This window comes from Homo sapiens, chromosome 3, assembly GCF_000001405.40.
Source record: "Homo sapiens chromosome 3, GRCh38.p14 Primary Assembly".
NCBI lineage: Eukaryota > Metazoa > Chordata > Mammalia > Primates > Hominidae > Homo > Homo sapiens.
Genome location: NC_000003.12, coordinates 159,315,781 through 159,341,656, shown reverse-complemented (window position 1 = coordinate 159,341,656; position 25,876 = coordinate 159,315,781). Strand labels below are relative to the sequence as shown.

Genomic DNA, 25,876 nt, shown 5'->3' with positions numbered 1-25,876 from the left:
AGCTCGAGAAAGTGGCAAACCCTTCAGGGAAGAGGAAAGACCTATGGCTCCTCCCACAGATGGGGGTAGAAAGAAGCTAGCCCAACACTTAACAACTACTGAACAGCCCTGTGTGAGCTGGCTTGATGGATGGTACCCTCAGGAATCCCATGACCCTGTGACCATGCATCTACCTGCCAACTTTCACTCACAGGTCTTAAGTAGGTCACAGTATGAGGGGTAATTTGCCCAAAGTAAGGGGACCAGACAAGAAAAGCTGAGAAAGAGTTTTTCTTTAAGGTATTTGCCCAAAGTCAAATCCCCTTCAAAAGGTGAGGAGTGTTGGCGGGGCACACAGCAGGGGAGTTGAGAGAGGCACTCTAAGCTTTCAACTGCTAAGAGAAACCCTTCCAGGACATTCCAGGTCTTCAGAGAGCATAGGGCAGTAAGGCGGCAGCACTTCAAAAGCTAGGAAAGGGACCATTAGGCTTAAAGATGTCTCCCCAAGTGCAGAAAGCAAGGGGAGGGTGAGATAGCAAAGAAAACACTCCAGGGACTCAAAATCATGCCAGCTGGGCCGTAAGCAGGCAGATATCACCCACAGTTCCAAAATTTGGCAGCTGAACTCTAAAACTCAGGAAAGTCTCTGGAATCTTTCCAATGCTCTGATACCAGGCTCTGTTGAAAGAGAAGTTGATCATATCCTCAAAATATTTGAAAACAGTGGTGAACCAAGTAAAACCACCAGTGCAAAAAAGCCCTGAGTATTCAAATATGGTTCAAATTGCCTAGGTTCCTACTCTAGAAAAAGGAATGTTTTACTTTTTGGAAGAAATTTTATTTTCTTCAGTTTCTACTGATCTCTTACACAAAACATTCTCTGCGCCCCCCCAAATTATAATGCACACAGAAAAGCAAAAAAATGTGACTCATGCCAAGAGAGGAAACAGTCAATAGAAACAGACTCCAGGATGGCCTGGAGGCTGGAGTTTTCCAAGAGAGAGGTGAAAATAACTGATAAAAATGCTGAAAGATTTAGAATAAAGGTGGACATATGAGTGAACAGATGAGAAACTTGACATTTTACTTTATAGAATTCTATCTGAATTTATTGTAATTTTTATGCATAAAAGTCTTTTATTGATTACTCAATTTTATTTCTCTACATAAAATGTGAATGCATTTTTAGAATTTATTTCTTATGGCTATAAACTTTCAGTATTTAAAATTTCCTCTAGTTTTAATAATCATAATTATATGTAGTATATAAAATTGATTCTTGAAACAATATAAATTGAATTTTGATAATTATTAGAGATAAAATTATTTTTATTGGAATTGCATCATTTAATGAGAAAAATCACATCATTTTTCTGTTAGTTCATCTATCTTTGAATGAGTATTACCTCTTAAAATGAGAGAGGGTTTTCCATCTATTCTATTCTTATTTACCAATTTTAATAAGCCCTAGAAAACTTATTTATATACATATGTAGATGAGATTGAACAGTAGTAATGTTGCTCAAGTCTCTAAAATCCTTCCTAGTTATCCTCTTAAAGTCATTGTCTGTCATCAAACAGTATATTTAATGATCTAGCAACTGAGAGTTGATTAGGTCCTCTTCAACTTTATTAAAAACTAATAATTGAAAACTGACTTGTAAAATAATTCCTGGTTATTAGAATTATTCTAATAATTCTAATAATTCCTGGTTATTAGAATTACTACCTTTCTCAAAATCATCATTGTATTTTATATCTTAGACGTTTTGCACCTTGGGAAATGCAACACATTAAATTTTGAGTGGATGAGAGCTATATCTTCTTTTCAGTGGACAAAAGCAGTAATGAAAGAATAAGTGAAAAAGGAGAAATAATCTGAAATACACTCTCAGGCAGATTACTTCTAGAGAAAAGTTTAACAGGAAGCTGAAATTTTAAGAAGTTTTATCTATTAAATTCCAACGTGCCCTCACACTCCTTGAAAAATTGTTGTATACCCTAATTTTGAATACCATGGACTTAAAACATCTGTTAAATAAGTCAATGCATGAAGGCACATCTATCAAACTATTACCCAAGGGAACTTTTTTCTTAACTGAAGCTGCTGCCTGAAATGCAGTTTCATGTTTCAAGAAGTTTGGTAGAAAATCAGAGATCTTCTATGTAAGGAGAAAAACTTCACATTCTGTTCCCACTTCTTAATGAAACTTCTTATAAAAGTGGTTCTGAAGAGAAGGTGATGCTTCTGACCTTGGACAATATTTCTTTCAAGCCTGCTGACAGGGACTAACAGCAGTGCTTGCTGATGTGAAAACAAGGAGTTTCTTTATTTACCAAAATAGCAAAAATCAGATGTGTGACCAAGCATCACAGTGCTGCCATTTGAGTAAAGAACACCAAGGTTTTTTTTTTTTTTTTTAATTCTAATGATGTTATGCTTGGCAAAGACAATTTTCATCATTTGAACATGTCAAAGGCCTTTGTAGTTTCTGAAAGGGGCTCATAATATAGTAATTCTTTGATGGAATAGCCATGCACAAAACAGATGAAAACCTGGAGATGGCTTCATTTGGTTGTTTCATCAGTCTGCTGTAAATGGCCATGGAACCTATGAATATTTACATTATTGGCTACAAAATGTTAGGAGAAATGTCCTCATTAATGGTGATGGATTGTGTCATCTGCTTGAGGCACCACATTTTAGGTTTCTTCCTCAGTTATAAGCTATAGATGTCACATTTTCCAGTGTATGTGAATTCAAGATTATATTAGTGACATAGCTTCTTTCACTTAGAATTTCAGCATGGATGATACAGATTCCTCAAGCACAGCCTTTTGTATTTGGTGAGATCCAAACATTGGTAATATTCCAGCATGTGGAAAATGTCTTAAAAACCATAGCATCCAATATATTATCAGAATGTTCACATAAAAGGTATTCCTTCAGCTTGGCTGGATTCATGTTTCCACTGGGTACCAGCCTGATTCAAGCCACTATTATCTCTTGCTTGGATTACTATAACAGTCTCTAAACTAGTCTTTCTGAATCTACCCTTGGCCCCAAGTCTATGCACTGCATAGAAGATAGAGTAGGTCCTATCACATCACTTCTCTTCTCAAGGCCTTCCAATGGTTTCCCGTCTAGAACAAAACCCAAAATCATTAAAGTGGCTTATAAGGTTCTACACAATATAGTCATAACCTCATCTTATACCATGTTCTTATTCACTCTGTCCACCAGACACCCTGGCACTTTACCGCTCTTCACTCATGACGTAGACGGTCCTACATCAAAGCCTGTACACTTGTTTCCTCTGCCGGCAACACAATTACAGAGGTTTCTGCAGGGTTTGACATCACCTTTTACTCAAGCATCACCTTCTCACTGAAGCTTTCCTTGTCCCCACTATTTAAGGTTGTAACCTCTTTCCCTGCTTTATTGTTTATAACACTTTGCATTTGAAATATTACCTATTTCAATTATGTATTTTCTATTGCCTGATCCACTCCCAAATTTTTAGGATTGTAAAGGCAAGCATTTGTGTCTGCTTTGTTCACTGCCGTATCCCCAGCATCTAGAAAAGTTCCTGGCACAAAGGGAACTCAGCAAATATTTGTTGAATGCAAGATTTCTAGAAAGGAAGGAACCATGCTCTTACTTCATCACAAGTCATAATGAAGTTAAGATTGAAGGACATGGAAAGTTTTATTGAGTGTTCTTTGACATTTTTCAGGCAGACCCATGGTAAACAAAGATGAAAGCTCATTTACACAGTAGCAGGGCTTAATTACTAACAATGAGAAATATTCTGGATGTCTTCAGACGAAGAAGATAATGATTTTACAATGCTTGATAGTCTTTAGGAGTATCTCATGCCACCACACACTATTTTGGATTGAAACAGGGCTAATATTATAAATTGGAGAACATGTTCAAAGATTTCTTGGTGGAACAATTTGGGTGGAAAGTTGCCACTGGTGGTCCCTAATGGTACAGAGGACAGAAACATGATTAGAAGACAGGACATCATGTCCCTTGTAAGCTGGATTCCTAGGTATTTTATTCTCTTTGAAGCAATTGTGAATGGGAGTTCACTCGTGATTTGGCGCTCTGTTTGTGTGTTATTGGTGTATAAGAATGCTTGGGATTTTTGCACATTGATTTTGTATCCTGAGACTTTGCTGAAGTTGCCTATCAGCTTAGGGAGTTTTGGGCTGAGACAATGGGGTTTTCTGGATATACAATCATGTCATCTGCAAACAAGGACAATTTGACCTCCTCTTTTCCTAATTGAATGTGCTTTATTTCCTTCTCCTGCCTGACTGCCCTGGCCAGAACTTCCAACACTATGTTGAATAGGAGTGGTGAGAGAGGGCATCCCTGTCTTGTGCCAGTTTTCAAAGGGAATGCTTCCAGTTTTTGCCCATTCAGTATGATATTGGCTGTGGGTTTGTCATAGATAGCTCTTATTATTTTGAGATACATCCCATCAATACCTAATTTATTGAGAGTTTTTAGTATGAAGTGTTGTTGAATTTTGTCAAAGGCCTTTTCTGCATCTGTTGAGATAATCATGGTTTTCTTCATTGGTTCTGTTTATATGCTGGATTACGTTTATTGATTTGCGTATGTTGAACCAGCCTTGCATCTGCTCAATGAAATAAAAGAGGATACAAACAAATGGAAGAACATTCCATGCTCATGGGTATAAAGAATCAATATCGTGAAAATGGCCATACTGCCCAAGGTAATTTATAGATTCAATGCCATCCCCATCAAGCTACCAATGACTTTCTTCACAGAATTGGAAAAAACTACTTTAAAGTTCACATGGAATCAAAAAAGAGCCTGCATTGCCAAGTCAATCCTAAGCCAAAAGAACAAAGCTGGAGGCATCACATTATCTGACTTCAAACTATACTACAAGGCTACAGTAACCAAAACAGCACGGTACTGTACCAAAACAGAGATATAGACCAATGGAAAAGAACACAGCCCTCAGAAATAATACCACACGTCTACAACCATCTGATCTTTGACAAACCTGATAAAAACAAGAAATGGGGAAATGATTCCCTATTTAATAAATGGAGCTGGGAAAACTGGCTAGCCATATGTAGAAAGCTGAAACTGGATCCCTTCCTTACACCTTATACAAAAATTAATTCAAGATGGATTAAAAACTTAAATGTTAGACCTAAAACCATAAAACCCTAGAAGAAAACCTAGGCAATACCATTCAGGACATAGGCATGGGCTAGGACTTCATGACTAAAACACCAAAACAAATGGCAACAAAAGCCAAAATTTACAAATGGGATCTAATTAAAATAAAGAGCTTCTGCACAGCAAAAGAAACTACCATCGGAGTGAACAGGCGACCTACAGAATGGGAGAAAATTTTTGCAATCTACTCATCTGACAAAGGGCTAATATCCAGAATCTACAATGAACTCAAACAAATTTACAAGAAAAAAACAAACAACTCCATCAAAAAGTGAGCGAAGGATATGAACAGACACTTCTCAAAAGAAGACATTTATGCAGCCAAAAGACACATGAAAAAATGCTCATCATCACTGGCCATCAGAGAAATGCAAATCAAAACCACAATAAGATACCTTCTCACACCACTTAGAATGGTGATCATTGAAAAGTCAAGAAACAACAGGTGCTGGAGAGCATGTGGAGAAATAGAAACACTTTTACAGTGTTGGTGGGACTGTAAACTAGTTCAACCATTGTGGAAGTCAGTGTGGCGATTCCTCAGGGATCTAGAACTAGAAATACCATTTGACGCAGCCATCCCATTACTGGGTATATATCCAAAGGACTATAAATCATGCTGCTATAAAGACACATGCACACGTATGCTTATTGCGGCACTATTCACAATAGCAAAGACTTGGAACCAACCCAAATTTCCAACAAGGATAGACTGGATTAAGAAAATGTGGCACATATACACCATGGAATACTATGCAGCCATAAAAAATGATGAGTTCATGTCCTTTATAGGGACATGGATGAAGCTGGAAACCATCATTCTCAGCAAACTATCGCAAGGATAAAAAACCAATCACCACATGTTCTTACTCATAGGTGGAAATTGAACAATGAGAACACATGGACACAGGAAGGGGAACATCCCACACCAGGGCCTGTTGTGGACTGGGGGGGAGTGGGGAGGGATAGCATTAGGAGGTATACCTAATGTTAAATGACGAGTTAATGGGTGCAGCACACCAACATGGCACATGTATACATATGTAACTAACCTGTGCATTGTGCACATGTACCCTAAAACTTAAAGTATATAAAAAAAAGACAGGGCATCTATTAGAATGACTAAACTAAAAGAGACTGGTCATGCCAAGTGCAGGGATGTGGCAGAGTTGGATCTCTCATATGCTGCTGGTAGAAGTACATGGTCCAATCACTCTGGAAAATGGTTTGGCAGTTTTCAGAGTGCCCCAAGGGTAAATAACTTAGTTATTTAGAAATGAAAACATTTGGGAGGCCAGGGCAGGCAGATCACTTAAGGTCAGGAGTTCGAGACCAGCCTGGCCAACATGGTGAAGCCCTGGCTCTACTAAAAATATAAAAATTAGCCAGGTGTGGTGGCACACACCTGTAATCCCAGCTACTCAGAAGGCTGAGGCAGGAGAATTGCCTGAACCCAGAGGCAGAAGTTGTCATGAGCTGAGATCGCAGCACTACACTCCAGCCTGGGTGACAGAGCAATACTCGGTCTCAAAATTAAAAAAAAAAAAGAAGAAGAAGAAGAAGAAAAAGAAAACTTATGTCTACATAAAAACCTGTACATGAATGTCTATATCTGTAGTTAAATGCTGGAAACAACTAAAATACCCTTAAATTGGAGACTAGATTAACAAATCTATTGAAATTGTATGGTACAACCATACGATGGAATACGACAATATAAAGGCACAAACAATTGGTGTATGCAACAATGTGAATGACTCTCAAAAGCATTATTTTAAGTGAAACAAGCCAGTCTCTAAAAGTTACATGCTGAATAATTTCATTTATATGTCTTTTCATAGAAGGCATTGGGGTTAGGGGATGATTTGACTATAAGAGGCAGCATGAGGAAATTTTGGAGAGTGTATGGAATTGTTCTATATACCTGTTGTGGTGGTGGTTACCTGAATCTATGCATGTGTCAAAACTCATAGATGTGTATACCAAAATAATAATAGTAATACTGCATCTAAATTTTTAAAAATCACCAGTTTGTTTCTTAAAGGGCAGGATTTTCCAGCACTGATATGGGAGCAAGCTTGAAGGCCTATGATGTGCATATCAAACCAAATATATAACTGTCTCTTATAGAAAATCTCTATAGATTATCTTCATCGCCTCTCCCTTGTGTCATGAGTTGACATGCAAAATCAACTGGTCAGACAGTCTCGCCAACAACCTCTTCGTACACTTTCAGATGATCTGTCAGGTCAATTTGGAATGAGCAGATATCATCAAGCAATATTTCCATATGATAAAGATGATTCTTTAATGACATATTTTCTTGTGGCTTTACAAGTTTAGGGGTATGTAATATTGTTTTGTTTTTCTTTTCCCCATAAAACATGATCTTTGGCAATATATTTGACTAAGATATTGAGCTATATGTTTTAAAACTGGTAGGTATGTGTTATTGCTTGCTTTCTTTTCTACTAATTATCTTTTTTGGCTCAACAGGGAGATATCGTTCATTCTTAGAACTTAGAATTAAATATTTGAACTACAGGTCCAGCCCATTAGGACTAAAGATTAATTAATCACCTCCTAAATTCCAATGTGTATTTGAGAAATCACATGAATGTTTGTTAGTACTTCCTGTCTCCAATTTAATATGAAATATTTTTTTTCCACCGACAGAGCTGGTTAACAGAAAGGATCCTATGATATTTTGTTGATATCAGACTAATGCAAAGATTTAAACTAAAGGATAACTTCAAGCAAATACCTCTGAAACAAGTATTGTAAGAAGGCCCATATGTGTAGGAGTAGTCTTTGCTATATTCTACTTGTCATTTGTATCTGCTGTGTTCGTTGAGGATGGTATTGTATCTGATAAATCACGAATTTTAATTTCAGCCTCATAGGAAGAGTCAGTGGAGTGTGTGTGTGTGTGTATGTTTGTGTATGTGTGTGAAATTGCTAATAGCTGAACTCTGATTAATGTCAGCATGACAGAAGAACAAGATCTCATTCAGCAATTGTATTTCTTATAATAATGTGAATAATAATCATAGCAAACATTTATTGACTATTTACTATATCCCAGATACTACTCTAAGTGTCTCACATTTATTTTGTCATTTATTCTTCCCCTAAATTCTTATTTGAATTTTCCAATTCTTATATTTTTTATCAGGGATCCAATGGACCCAGAACTTACATGGATGTAAAGAAATGTACTTTGCAACTTTGAATTTATAAACAACTTAATAACTTTTTTATATAAGTAAATTGGCATTTTCTTTTATGTTATGCAACACTAAAAAAATAACCTTTTGTTAGACTGACATGGTTTTATTTGGGGAAATTGTTTCCTTATAATTTCCCAGGTACATGATTTATTTGAAAAGTAACAGTCTTTCAGTATCATCTCTTCTTTTTTGCCTTTTATTTGTTCCTAAATCCAATAGTCTCTCTGTGTCTCCAACAGGCACTGAAACTGATGCAGGCTGTCCAGCATGGACTATGATGCAGGAGCAACTCTTCCAGGAGAACTGGATACATAAACAGTGCAGTAAAAACCCAGAAACATATCTACTTAACTGCTTTGTAATTGATGGATAATCATTTCACTGTCACAATCAGTGATGTGTGAAAATTTACTGCTTATATTTCCAAATTGCTTCACCCTGCCCACCCCCAAGGCCCTCATATATATCCTTTTGACTGTCAAACTGATGGATACTCATTGAAATTCCACAGCTTAGATGCATCACAAACTAACCATGGATATTCATTCCCATGATCTAACCCAAAGCATAAAAATTCCACTAGAAAGTCATAGGCTCTTCTCAGCAGGCTCCACACCAAACCTTGCAGGGCTCATATTCCTGGAGACTGAATATTTATTGAATTTCTAGATGCCACCTGTGAACACATTTATTTCTAGAAAAATAAAAAGATTAAGGCCATTTAATTTCATAAACAGTGAAATAGAAGAAGTATCTAGAGCATTACAATGTAAAAATTAACATGATTTAATGGAAAGAATATGGACTTGGGAGACGGATTTGAGTTCAAATCCTGATTTGATCATTTATTAGGTCTGCGATCTTGAGCAAGATGTTTGGCCTACCTGACCTCAAAATTTTTGCCTGTAAAGCCAGTAATACCTACCTTATAGGACTGCTTTAAGGATTACAGAGGCTTATATAGGCAAATTGGTTCAGCAAATATTTATTGAGCACCTATTATGAACAGGTATTGTGCTAGGTGCTAAAAATTTGACATTAATATAGAGTCACTGCCTTCAGAGAACTTAACAGCTGAGTTGAAGAGATAGTCAAAGAAGGAGGCAATAACACTGTGGTATGCTAAGAAATGTGAGCAAGCAAAGCCACATTTGGGGCAGCTGCACAGCTTGGGATGGGGAAGGTGAGGAGTCAGGAAAGGACACCCTCAGGAGGTGACACCTGAGCTATGGTGATGAGCCAGGACCAGGTGGAGCCTACACAAAGACCCAGGGTGGCATGCACAGTATATGGTGAGGTGGGAATAGTGATACGGGATGATATAAAACCATGAAGGACCTCACATGCAGTACCCTGTGCTATCATCAATGACTTTAAGCAGAGAATGAACATGGTCAGATTTTCAGTTTGGAACCCTCACTCTGTCTATAGGAAAGATTATAGGTTGGTGTGACTCAAGGCAGAGAGAAAGTCAAGAGGCTAATACAGAAAAGTGTGGGGAAAATACTGGATTTCCAGTGTGGTGAGAGAAAAAAGTGAACAGAGTAAGGATCTTTGAAGAGATGAAATTGATAGAATTTCATCCGTGAGAGGAAGTAGGGGGATGGAGAGGGGTTCCTGCCTGGATCAAGGAGTACACTGTAGCGCATTCTCCAGGATGTAGAGGAAAAACAAGTTTGGGGAGCTAGGGCTGGATATGCAGAGCTTGATGAATCTGTGTACACTCAGGTGGAAGTGTCACTCTCAGACACTGCAGTGCCCTGTCCTCACCTATATCCCTTTGGCCTCACCTTGTCAGTACATACACCTGCAACTTTCCACCTGAAGGCTTTTGCTCCTTTTTGTGGGAGGGACATCCGAAGGAAAGAGTGACCATTTAACACCTGCAAAAGCAGTCTTCAGGCAATGACAGATGGAGCTGGAGGATCAATGACCCCACTCCCCAGCCCTCTGGAGGATCCCTCTGGGGGAGGTTAATTCTAAGGTGTCTTGTGTCCTGTCTCCCAGAGCTCCCCATCAGGACTGAACTTCAGTGGCCCCCCAGTGGAAATCTGCCTCACGACGAACTCCTGATTCCCATATCACATCTTCCCTCCCCTACCAGGGCCTATGGGACACTTTCCCAAATTAAGTACTTGCACTCAAACCCTTGTCTCAAGGTCTGCTTGTGGGGAAATCCCATCCAAGACATACCTAATAGGCATGGAAGCATTGAATCTATGTATTGGAAGAGATGTCTGGGGAGGAGATATAAATTTAGAAACTCCTACATATAGGAGTTAGTTGAAGCCCAAGGAGGGAACGAGCTCACCTTGAGGAAGGAAGTAGAGGGGAGCTACTGGGATGTAAAGTAAAAGAGAAAAAAACTCAAGCACAGTGTACAAAACTGGACAGACTTAATAGGGACCAGTTCCTTTTCAAACAGTGATCTGTGGCAGGGAAGTTCTTTTAAAAAGTTGTCTGGAAATACTGGACTAATTATTTTATAGTTATGTAATCAATTTAATTTATAGTTCTTCTGCTGTACCTTGAAAATTGAGTATATACTGGTTCTTTATGAGCTGTAACATTTTATGACCTGTCAGGGCATTGACTGATACAGTGCACTGAAAAATAATCATATAAGATTACCTTAAAATACATATCAGTATCTGTCATTTTGACAGTGGAATCGCAATACTATAAATCTACAAAGATTAAAAATTTTAAGTGGAATGCTCTAAGCCGAATATTTATTAGGATACCTCAACTGCACCAAAAGAAGAAACAGAAACAAAATACTAATTTGACTTGAAGAAAATTTAGCTCTGGAATTCTAGGACTACAACAGGCCTCATATTTTTTATGGACCTTAAAATTATCCATCATTCTTAATACATTTCTCATGACAAATAATTGCCAGACTAGTATGCAATCTTACACAATGCCATCTCTCCAATTACATTTCTAAGGAACACATAGAAATAGAAAAAAGAATTACTGATCTATACATACTTTGATGTCTACATTAAAAATCAAGAGAAAATGTATATGACTGTAACTGCCTCTTGACAATCTTAAAGAAAAGGTGATGTGGTTGGTTTTACCCTTCCACATATCACAATAGTCCTGATAGGAGCCAGTGATAAACAGTGTGTTCACCTCCTAGTGTCCTTCTTAATTCATTCTCAATGGACCAAGTATTTTGAAAGATTATGCATCAAACTGCACATATTGACAATTAGTTTTTCAGTGTTTTATTAACAGGAGATAAATGCTACTTGGAGCTTTAGATCAATAGGACATAACCATTGTCACCACTCTAACTTAATAGAACTTAAGCCAAAGTTTGTTTTTGAAAAAAAAAAATACTAACGGTGCTGTGCCTTTCACTTTTATTTCCACCTGCCATGTTCTAGTTGAGAGTTTTCAATTGGGAAACATTGCTATAAATTTACAATGAGAACTAGGCTTCTTGTGTACTACATACAGTTTTCGATTGTTAACAGAAAATAGGAAATGTTGGAAACTAAAAATGGAAGGAAGATTATGACTATAGAAAAGAAGCAGGATTTGGTATAAAATCTGAATATAGATGGCTTTTTATGTCGATAAATAGGAAATCTAACTAACTCCACAGCCAGTGCTCCATATCTTAGACTTAATCCTCATGCCCTCACTCTGAACCCCATCCCACTGTGCCCTCTCATTATGTTGCCTCCCAGCCAGGGAGTCCCAGGGCAGCCTGTTGGAGAGGAGGGAGGTTGAGGGGTGGTTACCTATAGGCCCCATCTCTTGCTACTTCATGACCACACCGGAGACCATCTTTTCTTTCCTGCCCTGTGGCAACATCATCTTCTCCGGTTCCATCAATTCTCTGCTTTTAAGCACTCATTCTTTCATTGAAAATGAAGCAGGAACAAACTGTCCCACAGGTTAGTTGATGCCAGTCCTCTCACTCATAGCTTAGACTATCTCCCTGGGCAGGAGAAATTATGTGTGTGTGTGTGCATATGTGTTAGGTGTTAGTATGGTTGTGTGTGTGTATGTATGTTTGGGGTGTGTGTAGGGTGTGGACATAGTTACTTGTGTCCTTGTTTTACTCATCCACACAGGCCCACTCCCTGCTCTAAGCTCCCCGGGGGTACAGATAAACCTCACTCATTTTTGTTTCCCTTGCCACAGTAAGGCCAAAAGGAAAAGGATCTAAGACTCTTTGGCCACCTGCTATGTGCCAGGAACTGTACTGGCTGCTTTACCTACATTATGTTATTTTATCCACATATCATTCCTATGAGATGGAGATAAGTCTCATTTTATACATGAGAAAACTGAGACTCACAGGGGTTAAATAACCTGACCGAAGACACAGTAAAATGTGCAGTGCATCCCATTGGAAACAAACTCCTAGCTTTTTCCATTCCCATTCATAGAAATCTGATCACAAAATTCATTCTCTTGTTTAAAACCATTCGCTGATTTCTCACAGCCCAGAAGACAAGTCTTGACCCCTGGTGTGGTGCCCAAACACCCAGCCTGGCCCACCTGCCTCTTGGGGCTTAGCTCTGGCAGCACACTCCAGCCAGGCTACAACAGGGGCATTTCTCCCAACGCTCCACACTGCATCTCCCTTCTTGGTTCGCACTTCTACTTTTGCTTATAATGCCTTTTTCCACCCTTTTCCACCTGAGGTAAAACTACATATCTTTTAAGACTCTGATCATGTTCCACCCTCTACATAGCCTTTTTGAAAAGCTGTTCTTCCTTCATCCTACTATATTTGACCACTGTCTCTTTTAGGCCTCATCACCCTATCCTCAGTTCCCACAACAGTGTGCTGACATACTTCTGTCACAGCCCCACTAACTTTCTTCCTTCCTTACATGTTCCTCTGCCTTCTAAGACCATAAATTCCTCAAGGGCAGGAGTCAAATATTGGTCATCCTCATACTTCTAGGGCACAATTGTCCAAGAGAACTTTCTGTCATAAAAAAAAATATTCTTCTATGCCATCTAATATAGTAGTCATTACACACTATGTTTTGTGGCTTGAGAACTTGAGAAATAGAGCAACTGAGGAATTGAGTTTTTAATTTTATTTAATTTTCGGTAATTTAAATTCCAATAGGCACATGTGGCTAATGACTACTATGTTGGATGGTACAGCTGTAAGGCTATAAAGGATCTGGGACATAGTAGGTATTAGTAAGTATTTGCTGAATTGGACAGAACTCATTTAGTTCAGGTCGCTCAGGGTTTCCTTCTAACCAAGTCCAAGAACCTTTGCTATAGTTTTAATTCTGTTCAACTACTTCACTGATGGAGGCTTTCTGGACCACCCTTTATCTTCCTCATATACCCTCCAGGCCTGGCTTGAAGAACACACATTGCTGTCTTGGAACCCTTTCTGACCACTAATTTGCTTCCTTTGCTTTTCTTCTCTGCCTCTCATTTCTACAAAGGCTATAAAATGGGACTGCATTTCCACCAGAGTCTCATTCCACAATGTGTAACCATAAAACATAGAAGCAGAGTTATTAGGGCCTTGAGGGAAAATGTATGAAGAAAATATCAGCCTGATTCATTATGAACAGTTATTATAAACAGTGGGCTTGCTAGCAAATGACAGGAAAACTAATTTGCATTTGCAACAAAATTATGTCACACACATCTGCCACAGCTCCCATCCCCCTTACCAACATATTACTAGGACTCTTTAATTAAAGAAACCCTGCTAACTCCAAAAGTTTTGGGGTCTGTGACTTGTGTTCTTGAGGGCTTGACTTGAAATCTTTATTAATAATCTCAATATTGCCTGGATTTCCAGTCCTCAAACTACCCAAGGGGAGAACCTGAGCCAAGAATTACTAGGCACTTGGAACATTCTAGACACTGTGCTAAAGATTCCCTCTTGCCTGACCACCACCCAATAACTTCTGAGTAGGTATCAATATTTCTATTTGACCAACGAGGAAGAGGAGGATGGGACAAGTTACTACTTGCCCCATGATCTGGCAATGCAATCCTGGTTGCCCAGCTCCAAAGTCCATGTCCTTCCTGATCTACCTCTCTGTCCCTTGAAATTTTAAACCAACAGTCTAGCAGTTAACAGCTTCTAGAGCAGGTAATTTCCTTTACTAGGGAAATTTTAAATGCAATTATATTTTCCTCCGTATAAAAACCTTCATGATTATAAATCACATTTTTAAGGCTATCCTTTAGATTCTTTATCCTCATATTAAATGATCCTATCTATTGCCAGTTTTTAAAAGTTTCTTATTTTGTAAAGTCACCCAAGATCTCCACAATCATCATAAAAGATGAAACTCTGGAACAGGATAATTCTATCTGGATCTGCTTGGTGCCTAATACAATTGGGTTTATAGTTTTACTCCAGCCAAGTAATGCTTTTGTGGAAATGACCCAGAACTAGCTGTAAAAGTACCCAGTGCAAATCTATCCTTAGCCAAATATTAGTTTGGGGCACATCACTTTCCTCCTTGTTTCTCAGCTCCTTCACTCACAAAATGATCAAGATAATAACTAGGACCATAGGGGAGGTTTGTAAGAAGACCAAATGAATATAATATACATAGGAAAATAGTAAAATATTAAATCTAACCTTAATATCATCTTCATAATTTTATTATTGATATGTATAAATCATAATTAGCATGCATTCTTACTAAATTAATAAAATAACTGGACCTTAAAAATGGGCTATGTTGGCAAGGGTAGGGCAGAGATGCAAAAAGAGATAATTCAGTCTATCACATAATATTTGGACATAATTGTAATCGTTAAACATATGAAGAGATAAATTATGTATAAGAGAAATGAGTTTCACAGCTTCTTAGCTGATGTACTTTTGGAATACTTATTTTAGCCAATAGAATAAGGTAATAGTACAATAATACTGAGTCCAGGTTCAATATTCATTAGATAGTATTTAACTTACTATACCTCTGAAGTCTAGATAAGAAGTATTCATCAAATTAAGCTGCATTTTCACAAGAAGGAATGGGTAATTCAAGAAATAGAGTAGAGAAGTAATCAAGAACCAGTCTGTGGATTTTAATTTAATCCTAATTCCCCTATTTGCTTACGGCCTTGGGCAGGTAACTTAGCCTCTCCGTGTCTCAGTGACATTATCTTTAAAATGGGAATAACAGTATTTCCTAACCAATAAGGTTACTATGATGAGTAAAGGAATTAATACATGTAAAACTCTTAAAACAATGTGTGGCACATTACAAGTGTCCAATCATGTTGTCTGTCATAAACATTAAAGAAGAACCAATATAGGCATTTTAGCTGTAAAAAACCATGACTACAGTAATGCAAACTTTTCAACATATAAAGCTATTACTATTACGAGCATTTTAGGAGGATGATAGTTCTTTCTCTCAAAATCAGAAACACTAAGAGAAAAAAATATAAATAGTAAATACATCAGTATCAGAGGATGTGTGCTTTGTTTCTTGAGTAGGAGAGCAATTCAACCTTCCTATGACCAGATCCAGGTGCTTTTAGAGTAAATTGACAATTAAAAAAAAGAAATTTTCAAGGGGTGATGGTGACAAGAAAAGGAAGAAATAATGAGTATAAAAAGAATGTATCCCACATAAATTGATGTATTTATTACAAACACATAGATGGAGATGATAGAGAGGCTTAGATTAAAAGGCCATTTGGATTCAGAATCACATCAAAGCAATTCCAGCTTTCATAATGCCCACAGAAGCCAACTTTCCCAGACTGGTAAGACAAATTTTGTTTTAACATTTTCTGGGAAAGACATCTGATTGCATGTGTGTATGTGTATGTATAACCTCTCTTCAAATATCAAAGATTGTGGTGTAAACTTACAGACGAATGATTTATGATTTACTTCTGGCTTACAAGTGTGTTGCTTCAACTATCAAACTGGAGACATTAAAACAAATATTTTTCTGGAAAGAAAATCTTCAGAAATATCAAAGCAGAGTTGAGGAGAAAGTGTAAAATCTATGGAAAAATACTGCTAATTCTTATCTTAATAATTACGGTGACTTGAACAGGTGAGGATAAGGTCTCGGATAAGGTCTCATTTCTTTCTAAAATCTAGTGTTGTGGCAGAGATACTGTCTACAGTGTAGGACATATGGAATTGATGCATAAAGAAGTTACCAAACTCAATAGGACCTTAATTAGTGAACACTATTTGGTCTCAGTTATAAACACTAATACATACAACTTCATGAAGACAGAAACATTTTCCAAATGCAAATACATACTTGGTCAGGACTATTTAAGATTATACTGTATGGAAAAAGTATCTAAGATAATATTCATTGTTTTATTATTGCTTTTTTTAGATCACTCAGATAAGTAATAATTCTATTTCTGATGTCATAGTTGAATATCTCAAGATTCACGTAGAAAATGAAAGCAAAAATGGATTAGAATTCCAGATTAAAACTCTGCCTCTATCATCAATACCTTTAGTCCCTCTATTATTAATCCTCCATAAGAGAAAAAGATAGATGCTGGTTAGAGGTGTTTAAAAAGAAGTTAACTTCTCTAATAATCTATTCTATTCCCCAATATTTTAGACATTCCCAGGCCTGATTCCAAATTGAATGTTTTAAGGTAATAATTCCAGAGACTTACTCTGTTATCAATAACTTCCCTGGCCTGGGAGCACTTAAAAATATGCTAATAACAGAGACATGAATAAATATTTCACAAAGAAGAAAAAAAATTATTTAACACATGAAAAAACATTCTCAATCTCAAGTATAAATTAAACTACACTGAGATATGAATTTTTACCTATCAGACAGGCAAAGATTTAAAAAGTTTGGTAATATACCCTGTTATATCCCCAGAAGAGTATGGGAATTATAAATTTATCAAATTTTGTAATTGGTCAAAACATACATAAATTAAATGTCATAAATCTTTGACTCAATTCAACTTTCAGGAATGTATTTCTAAAATAAATATTTTATTTGTAGTAAGTATATACCATATTAAATATATACAAATATATTCACATAGGTATTGAGAAACTGAATATACAAATGGACAATAGCTGTACCATATATAAAAATGCAGCTCTGACTCACAGGCTGCAGTAACCCGCCCAGGAAATTACTCCCCCCTTATCTATAATAAATAACCTGTTATAAGTCAGACTTGCAGGAAGCCAGGTTGCTATCTCTAGTAACAATCCGGGAAGGTAAACACTAACTCTGTAGCAATCACCCAAAAAGGGCCAGTTATTGATTAATAACTGACAGTTTCTCTATTTTTTGGTCCCTGCTTTCAACTTAGGATGAACCAAAGAAAGCTAAATATGCACTCCTAACCAACTCCATAGGATGTCCCACTTCTAGTTAGCTCACCGATAGCATTCCCAGGCCAACAGCCTCCAATCAGCCTTTATACCTGAAGCCTTCACTTTTTTCTAGTTTAAAGATTCCCTTTTCCTCTGCCAGCCTTTGATACTCTGCCAAACCAAGTGACAGTGGCTGATTCCTTACTACAGCAAGCTTTGAATACATAGCCTTTGCTTTTCTCATTTGGTTGGTCTTTATTTCCACAGTGTGCAAAGATGTATGTGAAAAGATATTCATTACAGCATTGCTTAATAGAGTAAAAGACTGAAGACAACTCAAATGTTCATCAATAGGAGACAGGTAAAATCAATTACTGCCCATGCATAGACAGACTACGGTGAAACTATTAACAAGAAAAAGGTATATAAATATGTGTGTACACAGACCAATCACCAAGACATATCATTAGAAAAAACCCACAAATTCTAAAAAAGGGTGCAAAGCAATGCTTATGGTATACAACCATAGATGCCTACATATCTCTAAATTGGTACAAATGGTTATTCAGAGAGACAAAGTGGGAGACTAAGAAATAAAACTAGTATGCAAAATTACTGTGCACCTGTATCATTTATTTCTTTTGGCTTTGGTATTATCTGTATAATTACCTATTTAAATATAATCTATTACTTTTTAAAAATCTAAATTTGCAACATTTGGAATAAGGGGAGAGCAGTCATTTCCCCATTGAGATATCCAAATTAGTATATAATTTTCAGGCTTAAAAATATGGCAACATATTACAAAAATAATTTTAATGCCAATCTTTTGAGTAGAGAAACCAAGCTAATCAAATACCACACATCTTCCCAGTCCGCCGCTATCAGGAATGCTGCCCTTGCAACAGAGTAGTTACAGTTGGAGCTGTGGGTGACAAAGAGGATATTGCCCATTAACTGTGATGGTCACTGAGGAGTCACGGACAGAAATCTCTGGTATTCCTAACTTTTATTACTCTTTCAGAACAGAGTTCCATAGCCTCATATCTGTTCAATAACAACCACATTATTATGAGAGAACTTTGTTGCTCTGCCAGCCTTTTCTTTTTTCCACCTCAGGAAAGGCCAGACACCCCGCATCCCAATTAGTAGAGCAAGGAAGGACTAGGGAGGATGTTAAAAGTGCAGATTCCTGCCCTGAGCCAGGTTTAACAAGCATCCTGGAACATTTTTGTGCCTAGTGAAGAAGGCAACCCCACCCCACCTCACACTCCAGAATAAATTATCTAGTGATATTCCTTTCTAAGGAATGGGCTCAGCTGGGGACAGGCCAGATCTTAAGCCGAATATTTTTTCACTTGGCCGTAGACTCAGTTGCGCCCCCTGGCGACCCTGCGGTGGTGAGTGGCATTCAGCACTCTGGGTGGGTGGTGAAGTGGAGGATTGATTCCTCGTACTCTGACAGCAGAGCTGGGTTATCAGAAAGTTAGCAAAATGGGCCAGAGATCCCATAGCTTTCAGTAAATTTCAAGAAGTCAGAGAGACTATATTAAGACAATAGTATGGTCTGTTTCCACCTGATAATTTTGATTTTATGCTGTTTTCACAGCCCCCACACCAAAAAATAGGCTCTGCAGAAAATAAATTTGGCTCTGTTTTGTTGACTGACATTGTTGAAACACCAAAATGGTGTCTTCCACACGGTGGATGCTCAGTTAGACAATTCAGGAGCACTAGTGTCTCACACTCAAGGTTAGGAAACTGGACTTAGCTTCTGTTAGCTAATCAGTCAAATCTAGTTCTCTAATTCTGCCCCCAGTGCTATCAAGCTTTAGTATCTTCTGCTTGGACAAAGTGATATGAACTACTGGCAAAGATGTAGCCTGTAATACTGCTTTCCACACAGATAAAATGCATTTAAAGCAAAAGATATGTATTATCTGACTAAAATACTGCTTAGAAAAAGTAACTCATGAAATATATATTCCTACTAACAAAAAGAGTTAGTAATATAATTTTGAAATAACACTGTTTTAAGAGGTTTATTAAAAGAAATTCAAAATCTTCATTATTTTATAACAATGTTTAGGATGCATGCCATTATCTAGAAAACGTTAAAGATGTTCCTTTTTCTTTACCTGCGTAGGTGATGACTTTATCTTTTCTAAATAGTACAGATTTATTTAAAAAGAAAACTAAAAGCCAATACAAATAATCATTTTAAAAAATAAATAACTCGTCATTTAGCATTAGGTAGAGTTTCTGCCCGCATGGCACATGTATACATATGTAACTAACCTGCACATTGTGCACATGTACCCTAAAACTTAAAGTATAATAATAATAAAATTTTAAAAATAAAAAATAAATATCCACTGCTTTATACTTCAATTCTTGCCTGAAAAATTAAATCACTGGTGTAATTTCTTAATATTCAAATATTTATCTTAACAGAATCTGCTTCATTAAAAAGAAGCAGATTATGTTCAACCATCTCTGGAATATCAGAAGTATTTATTTCTCAGCTTCCTAGCTATTTATCCAGCTGAAATGCAGAGATTTTGTCATTGCAGAAAGGAGAAACTTCTCGTTGAGGACGCAATGAATACATGAGGGAGAGGAGGTGTTTCTTGTAATTAAAATAACCACCAAGTCCAGGCATGGTGTCTCACACCTATAATCCCAGCACTTTGGGAGGCCAAGGTGGGCAGATCACCTGAGGTCAGGAGTTTGAGACCAGCCGGGCCGACGTGGTGAAACCCCGTCTCTACCAAAAATGCAAACATTAGCTGGGCGTGGTGGCAGGTGCCTATAATCCCAGCTACTTGGGAGGCTGAATTGGGAGAATTGCTTGAACCCAGGAGACCGAGGTTGCAGTGAGCTGAGATCGTGCCACTGCACTCCAACCTGGGTGACAGACAGAGATTCTGTCTCAAAAAAAGTAAAATAAATAAAACTAACCACCAAGTATTAAGTAGTCACTCCATGCCAGGTACTTTAAATTTATTGCATCTCAATTTGCATAGCCCCCCAGGAAGATGATACCACCTTTTTTTTTTTTTTAGATGACAGAATGAGATTAAATGGATTTCCAAAGGCCACATGGCTGAGAAATAAGGGAGCTGTTATTGAAAGTGCATCTATGATACTGCGTGGTGCACACTTGTTTCATGCTGTCCCTTGTACATTTTTGGAAATTGTAGAAATTAAGAAATTACCCTATAAACAAAAATGCACTTCACAAATAGGAATGCCCAGGATTTAACCAGCCAAGGTTTTACTATTACTGTAACAGGGGGAAAAAAAAAAGGAACTTACCACCATATGTCAGATATAAATGGCTCTTAAGTACAAAATGCCAAGAAGATCTGAACCTGAATTTGATTGATGGTCAGAGCTGAACCACCAGAACCAGGTAGCCAAAGTGTCTTACTCAGTTTAGGCTTCTATAACGAAATACCATAGACCAGGTGGCTTATAAACAACGGAAATTTGTTTCTCACGGTTCTGGAGGCTGGAAGTCTGAGATCAGGGTGCCTCCATGGTCAGGTTCTGGTGAGGGCCTTCTTCTGGGCTACAGACAGCTGACTTCTCACTGTGTCCTCACATGGTGAAAGGGGCAAGGCAGCTCTCTGGGGCCTCTTTAATAAGGGCACTACACATGTTTTTTCAGTCTCTATCAGTTATAATTATTTGGGCAGAAAATAGAATGAAATTTTTCTTTGTTTAATAACAGTTGTTTATAATGTAAATTAGTTATGTAACCATAATTAATGGAGAACTAAAAACTAACTTAAATGAAATAGTTTTTAATCTTCAAACACTTGGAGTAACCAGACAAACAATTAAAATGCTCTGTCTTCGTGACCCGATCACCTCTCAAAGGCTCCACCTTCTAATGCCATCACATTACTGATTAGGTTTCAACACAATGAATTTCAGGGGACACAAAGGTTTTGAGCATAGCACCAAGCAAACCTATGTCTCATTATCTGTGCCATGATGTGATACTACTAGAATATCAACAGAGCAGATCTGTGAAGTGCTAAAACACTTAATTGGCCAACACTAAATATTGCTTGACAGATTCAAATGAGGAGTAAACCATGATTATAAAAAAGGAGGAAATGCTTTTATCATGAATTTTACTTGAAAACTAGGAAACAACATGTGGATAGATGTTTTCAAAAAAAAGAGCAACAAATTTCAAAGCAAATAGAAAATGAAGACTTAATGCCAGAGAAAATATCTGCTTATCCAACCAGACTTTAAATATTAACATCACTGCCCAAGAAAATGTTTCTCTCATTGACATTTTAATAGAACTTTAACATATCCATTGAATAAATTGTCTGGTCCAGTTCTCAGTCACAATCCATGATCTTAAAGGGTCACCCTAAATAAACATAGAGACTTGCACAGACATTTGTAACAGATATTTAAGTTACCAATGTGCAGATATGTTTCTGTCAGAAGTTTTTGAGTCCAAATAGTCATTTGTCTTATAATGAGCTCTCTCTTTTCAAAACAAACAATGGAGCTTTTCATGCCCCAACCTTTGTTACACTGACCTTTATTGCTGCTCACAAGTATGAGTTTCAGCCTAAGGAGAAAATGAACCCTTTTCTCCAGAGAAGTGTCCATATCTCATATCACCAAAGCTCACATTCAGATGGTGAGTGGGGTCCAGAACAGGAGAAGGCTCTGCAACAGATCCAGACTGCTATGCAAGCTGCTCTGCCACTTGGGCCATATGACCACTGGGCACTATACATTTTTTTCAGTCTCTATCAATTGTAATTATTTGGAAAGAAAATAGAATGAAATTCTATTTTCATTCAGATCCAATGATGCCTGAGGTGTCAGTGGCAGATAGGGATGCTGTTTGAACCTTTGGCAGGCTCCTATAGATTAATCACAGCAGAGGCCTCTAGGATTTTGGAGCAAGGCCCTGCCATCTTCTGCAGATAACTACCTTCCTTTTGAGAGACAGCTCATGGCCTGTTACTGGGCTTTGGTGGAAACTGAATGTTTGACTATGGGTCATCAACTCACCATGCAACCTGAACTGCCTATCATGAACTGGGTGCTTTATGACCCATCTAGCCATAAAGTGGGTCATGCTCAGCAGCATTCCATAATCAGATGGAAGTGGTATCTACCTGATCGGGCTCGAGCAGGCCCTGAAGGCACAAGTAAGTTACATGAGGAAGTGGCTCAAATGCCCATGGTCTCCACTCCTGCCACCCTGCCTTCTCTTTCCCAGCCTGCACTGATGGCCTCAGGGGGAGTTCCCTATTATCAATTGACAGAGGAAGAGAAAACTAGGGCCTGGTTCACAGATGGTTCTGCACGATATGCAGGCACCACCCAAAAGTGGACAGCTGCAGCACTACAGCCCCTTTCCAGGACATCCCTGAAGGACAGCAGTGAAGGGAAATCTTCCCAGTGGGCAGAGCTTTGAGCAGTGCACCTGGTTGTGCACTTTACATGGAAGAAGAAATATCCAGATGTGTGATTATATTACTGATTCATGGGCTGCAGCCAATGGTTTGGTTGGATGGTCAGGGACTTGGAAGAAGCATGGTTGGAAAATTGGTGACAGAAATTTGGGGAAGAGGTATGTGGATGGACCTCTCTGAGTGGTCAAAAACTGTGAAAATATTTGTATGCCATGTGAGTGCCTATCAGCAGGTGACCTCAGTGGAGGAGGAGTTTAATAATCAAGTGGATAGGATGACCCATTCTGTGGACACCACTCAGCCTCTTTCCACAGCCACTCCTGTCATGACCCAATGGACCCATGAACAAAGTGGCCATGGTGGCAGGGATGGAGGTTACACATGGGCTCAGCAGCATGGACTTCTACTCGCCAAGGATGACCTGGCTACAGCCACTCCTGAGTGCCCAATTTGCCAGCAGCAGAGACCAACACTGAACCCTCGATATGGCACCATTCCTGGGGATGACCAGCCAGCTACCTGGTGGCAGGCTGATTATATTGGAATTCTTCCATCATGGAAAGGGCAGAGGTTTGTCCTCACTGGAATAGACACTTACTCCAGATATGGGATTGCCTATCCTGCACATAATGCTTCTGCCAAGACTACTAACCATAGACTCACAGAATATCTTGTCCACTGTCATAGTATTCCACACAGCATTGTCTCTGACCAAGGCACTCACTCTACAGCTAAAGAAGTGCGCCAGTGGGCTTGTGCTCATGGAATTCACTGGTTTTACCATGTTCCCCATCATCCTGAAGTAGCTAGACAGATAGAACAGTAGAATGGCCTTTTGAAGTCACAATTACAATGCCAACTAGGTGACAATACTTTGCAGGGCTGGGGCAAAGCTCTCCAGAAGACCATGTATGCTCTGAACCAGTATCCAACATATGGTACTGTTTCTCCCATAACCAGGATTCACGGGTCCGGGAATCAATGGGTGGAAGTGGAAGTGGCAACACTCACCATCACCCCAGTGATCTACTGGCAAAATTTTTGCTTCCTGTTCCCACGACATTATGTTCTGCTGGCCTAGAGGTCTTAGTTCCAGAGGGAGGAACACTGCCACCAGGAGACACAACAACAATTCCATTAAACTGGAAGTTAAGATTGCCACCTGGACACTTTGGGCTTCTCCTACCTTTAAGTCAACAGTCTAAGAAGGAAGTTACAGTGTTGGCTGGGGTGATTGACCCAGACTATCAAGATGAAATCAGTCTACTACTCCACAATGGAGTAGAGTATGCATGGAATACAGGAGATCCATTAGGGCGTCTCTGAGTATTACCATGCTCTGTGATTAAGGTCAATGGGAAACTACAACAGTACAATCCAGGCAGGACTACAAATGACCCAGACCTTTCAGGTATGAAGGTTTAGGTTACTCCACCAGGAAGAACGCCCACAACCTACTGAGGTGCTTGCTGAAGGCAAAGGGAATACAGAATGGGTAGTAGAAGAAGGTAGTCATAAATACCAGCTACAGCCACGTGACCAGCTGCAGAAACAAGGACTGTAACTGTCATGAGTATTTCCTCCTTCTTTTGTTAAAAACATGTTTGTGCATGTATATACTTGTACTAAGAAAATATCTTCATTTCCTTTTCTTTTATCATGTGACGTAAGATTTATTGACTTCATATAAGCCTTTAAGTATTGTTAACTTTATGTAATTGTACTTGGGTTTGGGATTGATGCATTTCCAGTTGTACGAAGGCTGGTTGTATTATGTTAGGTGTAATTATTACCTCATTATTATCTTTATTTGAAGATTATGTATGATCTCAAGAGATGTGTACAGGTTCAAGTTGACAAGGGATGGACTTGTGACGGTTAATACTGAGTGTCAACTTGATTGGATTGAGGGATACAAAGTATTAATCCTGTATATGTCTCTGAGTATTGCCAATAGAGATTGACATTTGAGTCAGTGGGCTGGGGAAGGCAGATCTACTGTTAATCTGGTGGGCACAATCTAATCAGCTTCCAGCAAATATAAGCAGGCGGAAAAATGTGAAAAAGAGAGATGGGCCTAGCCTCCCACCCTACATCTTTCTCCTGTGCTGGATGTTTCCTGCCCTCGAACATCAAACTCCAAGTTCTTCAGTTTTGAGACTCGGACTGGCTCTCCTTGCTCCTCAGCTTGCAGACAGCCTATGGTGGAACCTTGTGACCGTGTAAGTTAATACTTAATAAACTTCCCTTTATAGATATATATATATATCCTATTAGTTCTGTCGCTCTAAGAGAACCCTGACTAATATGGATTTGAACCAAAGAACCAAAGAAATCCTACCATCTAGGTACCTGATCTCCAGGGGTCATAGGCAATGATTTGAGCCTTAGGAGCCCTCCTTGCCTCAGACTTAGTCTCACGGTCTGATGTGGATGACAAGAAATATTTACATTAAAAGAATGTGAAGAAAGTAGGAAAATCTTCTAACTCCATTTCCTCACTTTACAGATAAGCCCCCTACCCCCTCCCCGACAAAAAAATAAGTGACTTGATGAAGACCCTTCTTTTCACTGTGCCTTTTTATGTCTCTCCTACTGATGAGTATGTTTTATGTCTAACATGTCATAAGTTGGAGCAGTTTCTGTCTTTTGTTTTAATCTTGCTGTTCTACTC

At 38.4% G+C, this 25,876-nt stretch overlaps 2 protein-coding genes across 7 annotated transcripts in view, besides 1 other annotated feature; both read right to left on the bottom strand.

Moving 5' to 3' along the window:
• The window catches only part of IQCJ-SCHIP1 (IQCJ-SCHIP1 readthrough), an 828,041-nt gene that overhangs the window by 555,703 nt on the left and 246,462 nt on the right, over positions 1-25,876 (bottom strand). The gene's annotated exons all lie outside the window — the stretch shown is intronic.
• Positions 1-25,876, bottom strand: part of SCHIP1 (schwannomin interacting protein 1) — a 624,116-nt gene that overhangs the window by 555,703 nt on the left and 42,537 nt on the right. The gene's annotated exons all lie outside the window — the stretch shown is intronic.
• Positions 48-616: an enhancer, noted in NCBI's record as "NANOG hESC enhancer chr3:159058830-159059398 (GRCh37/hg19 assembly coordinates)". NCBI's record gives its function as "activates a minimal SCP1, AML or CMV promoter by ChIP-STARR-seq in naive H9 embryonic stem cells {active_cell/tissue: H9 hESC(naive)}" and the evidence as "EXISTENCE:reporter gene assay evidence [ECO:0000049][PMID:30033119]".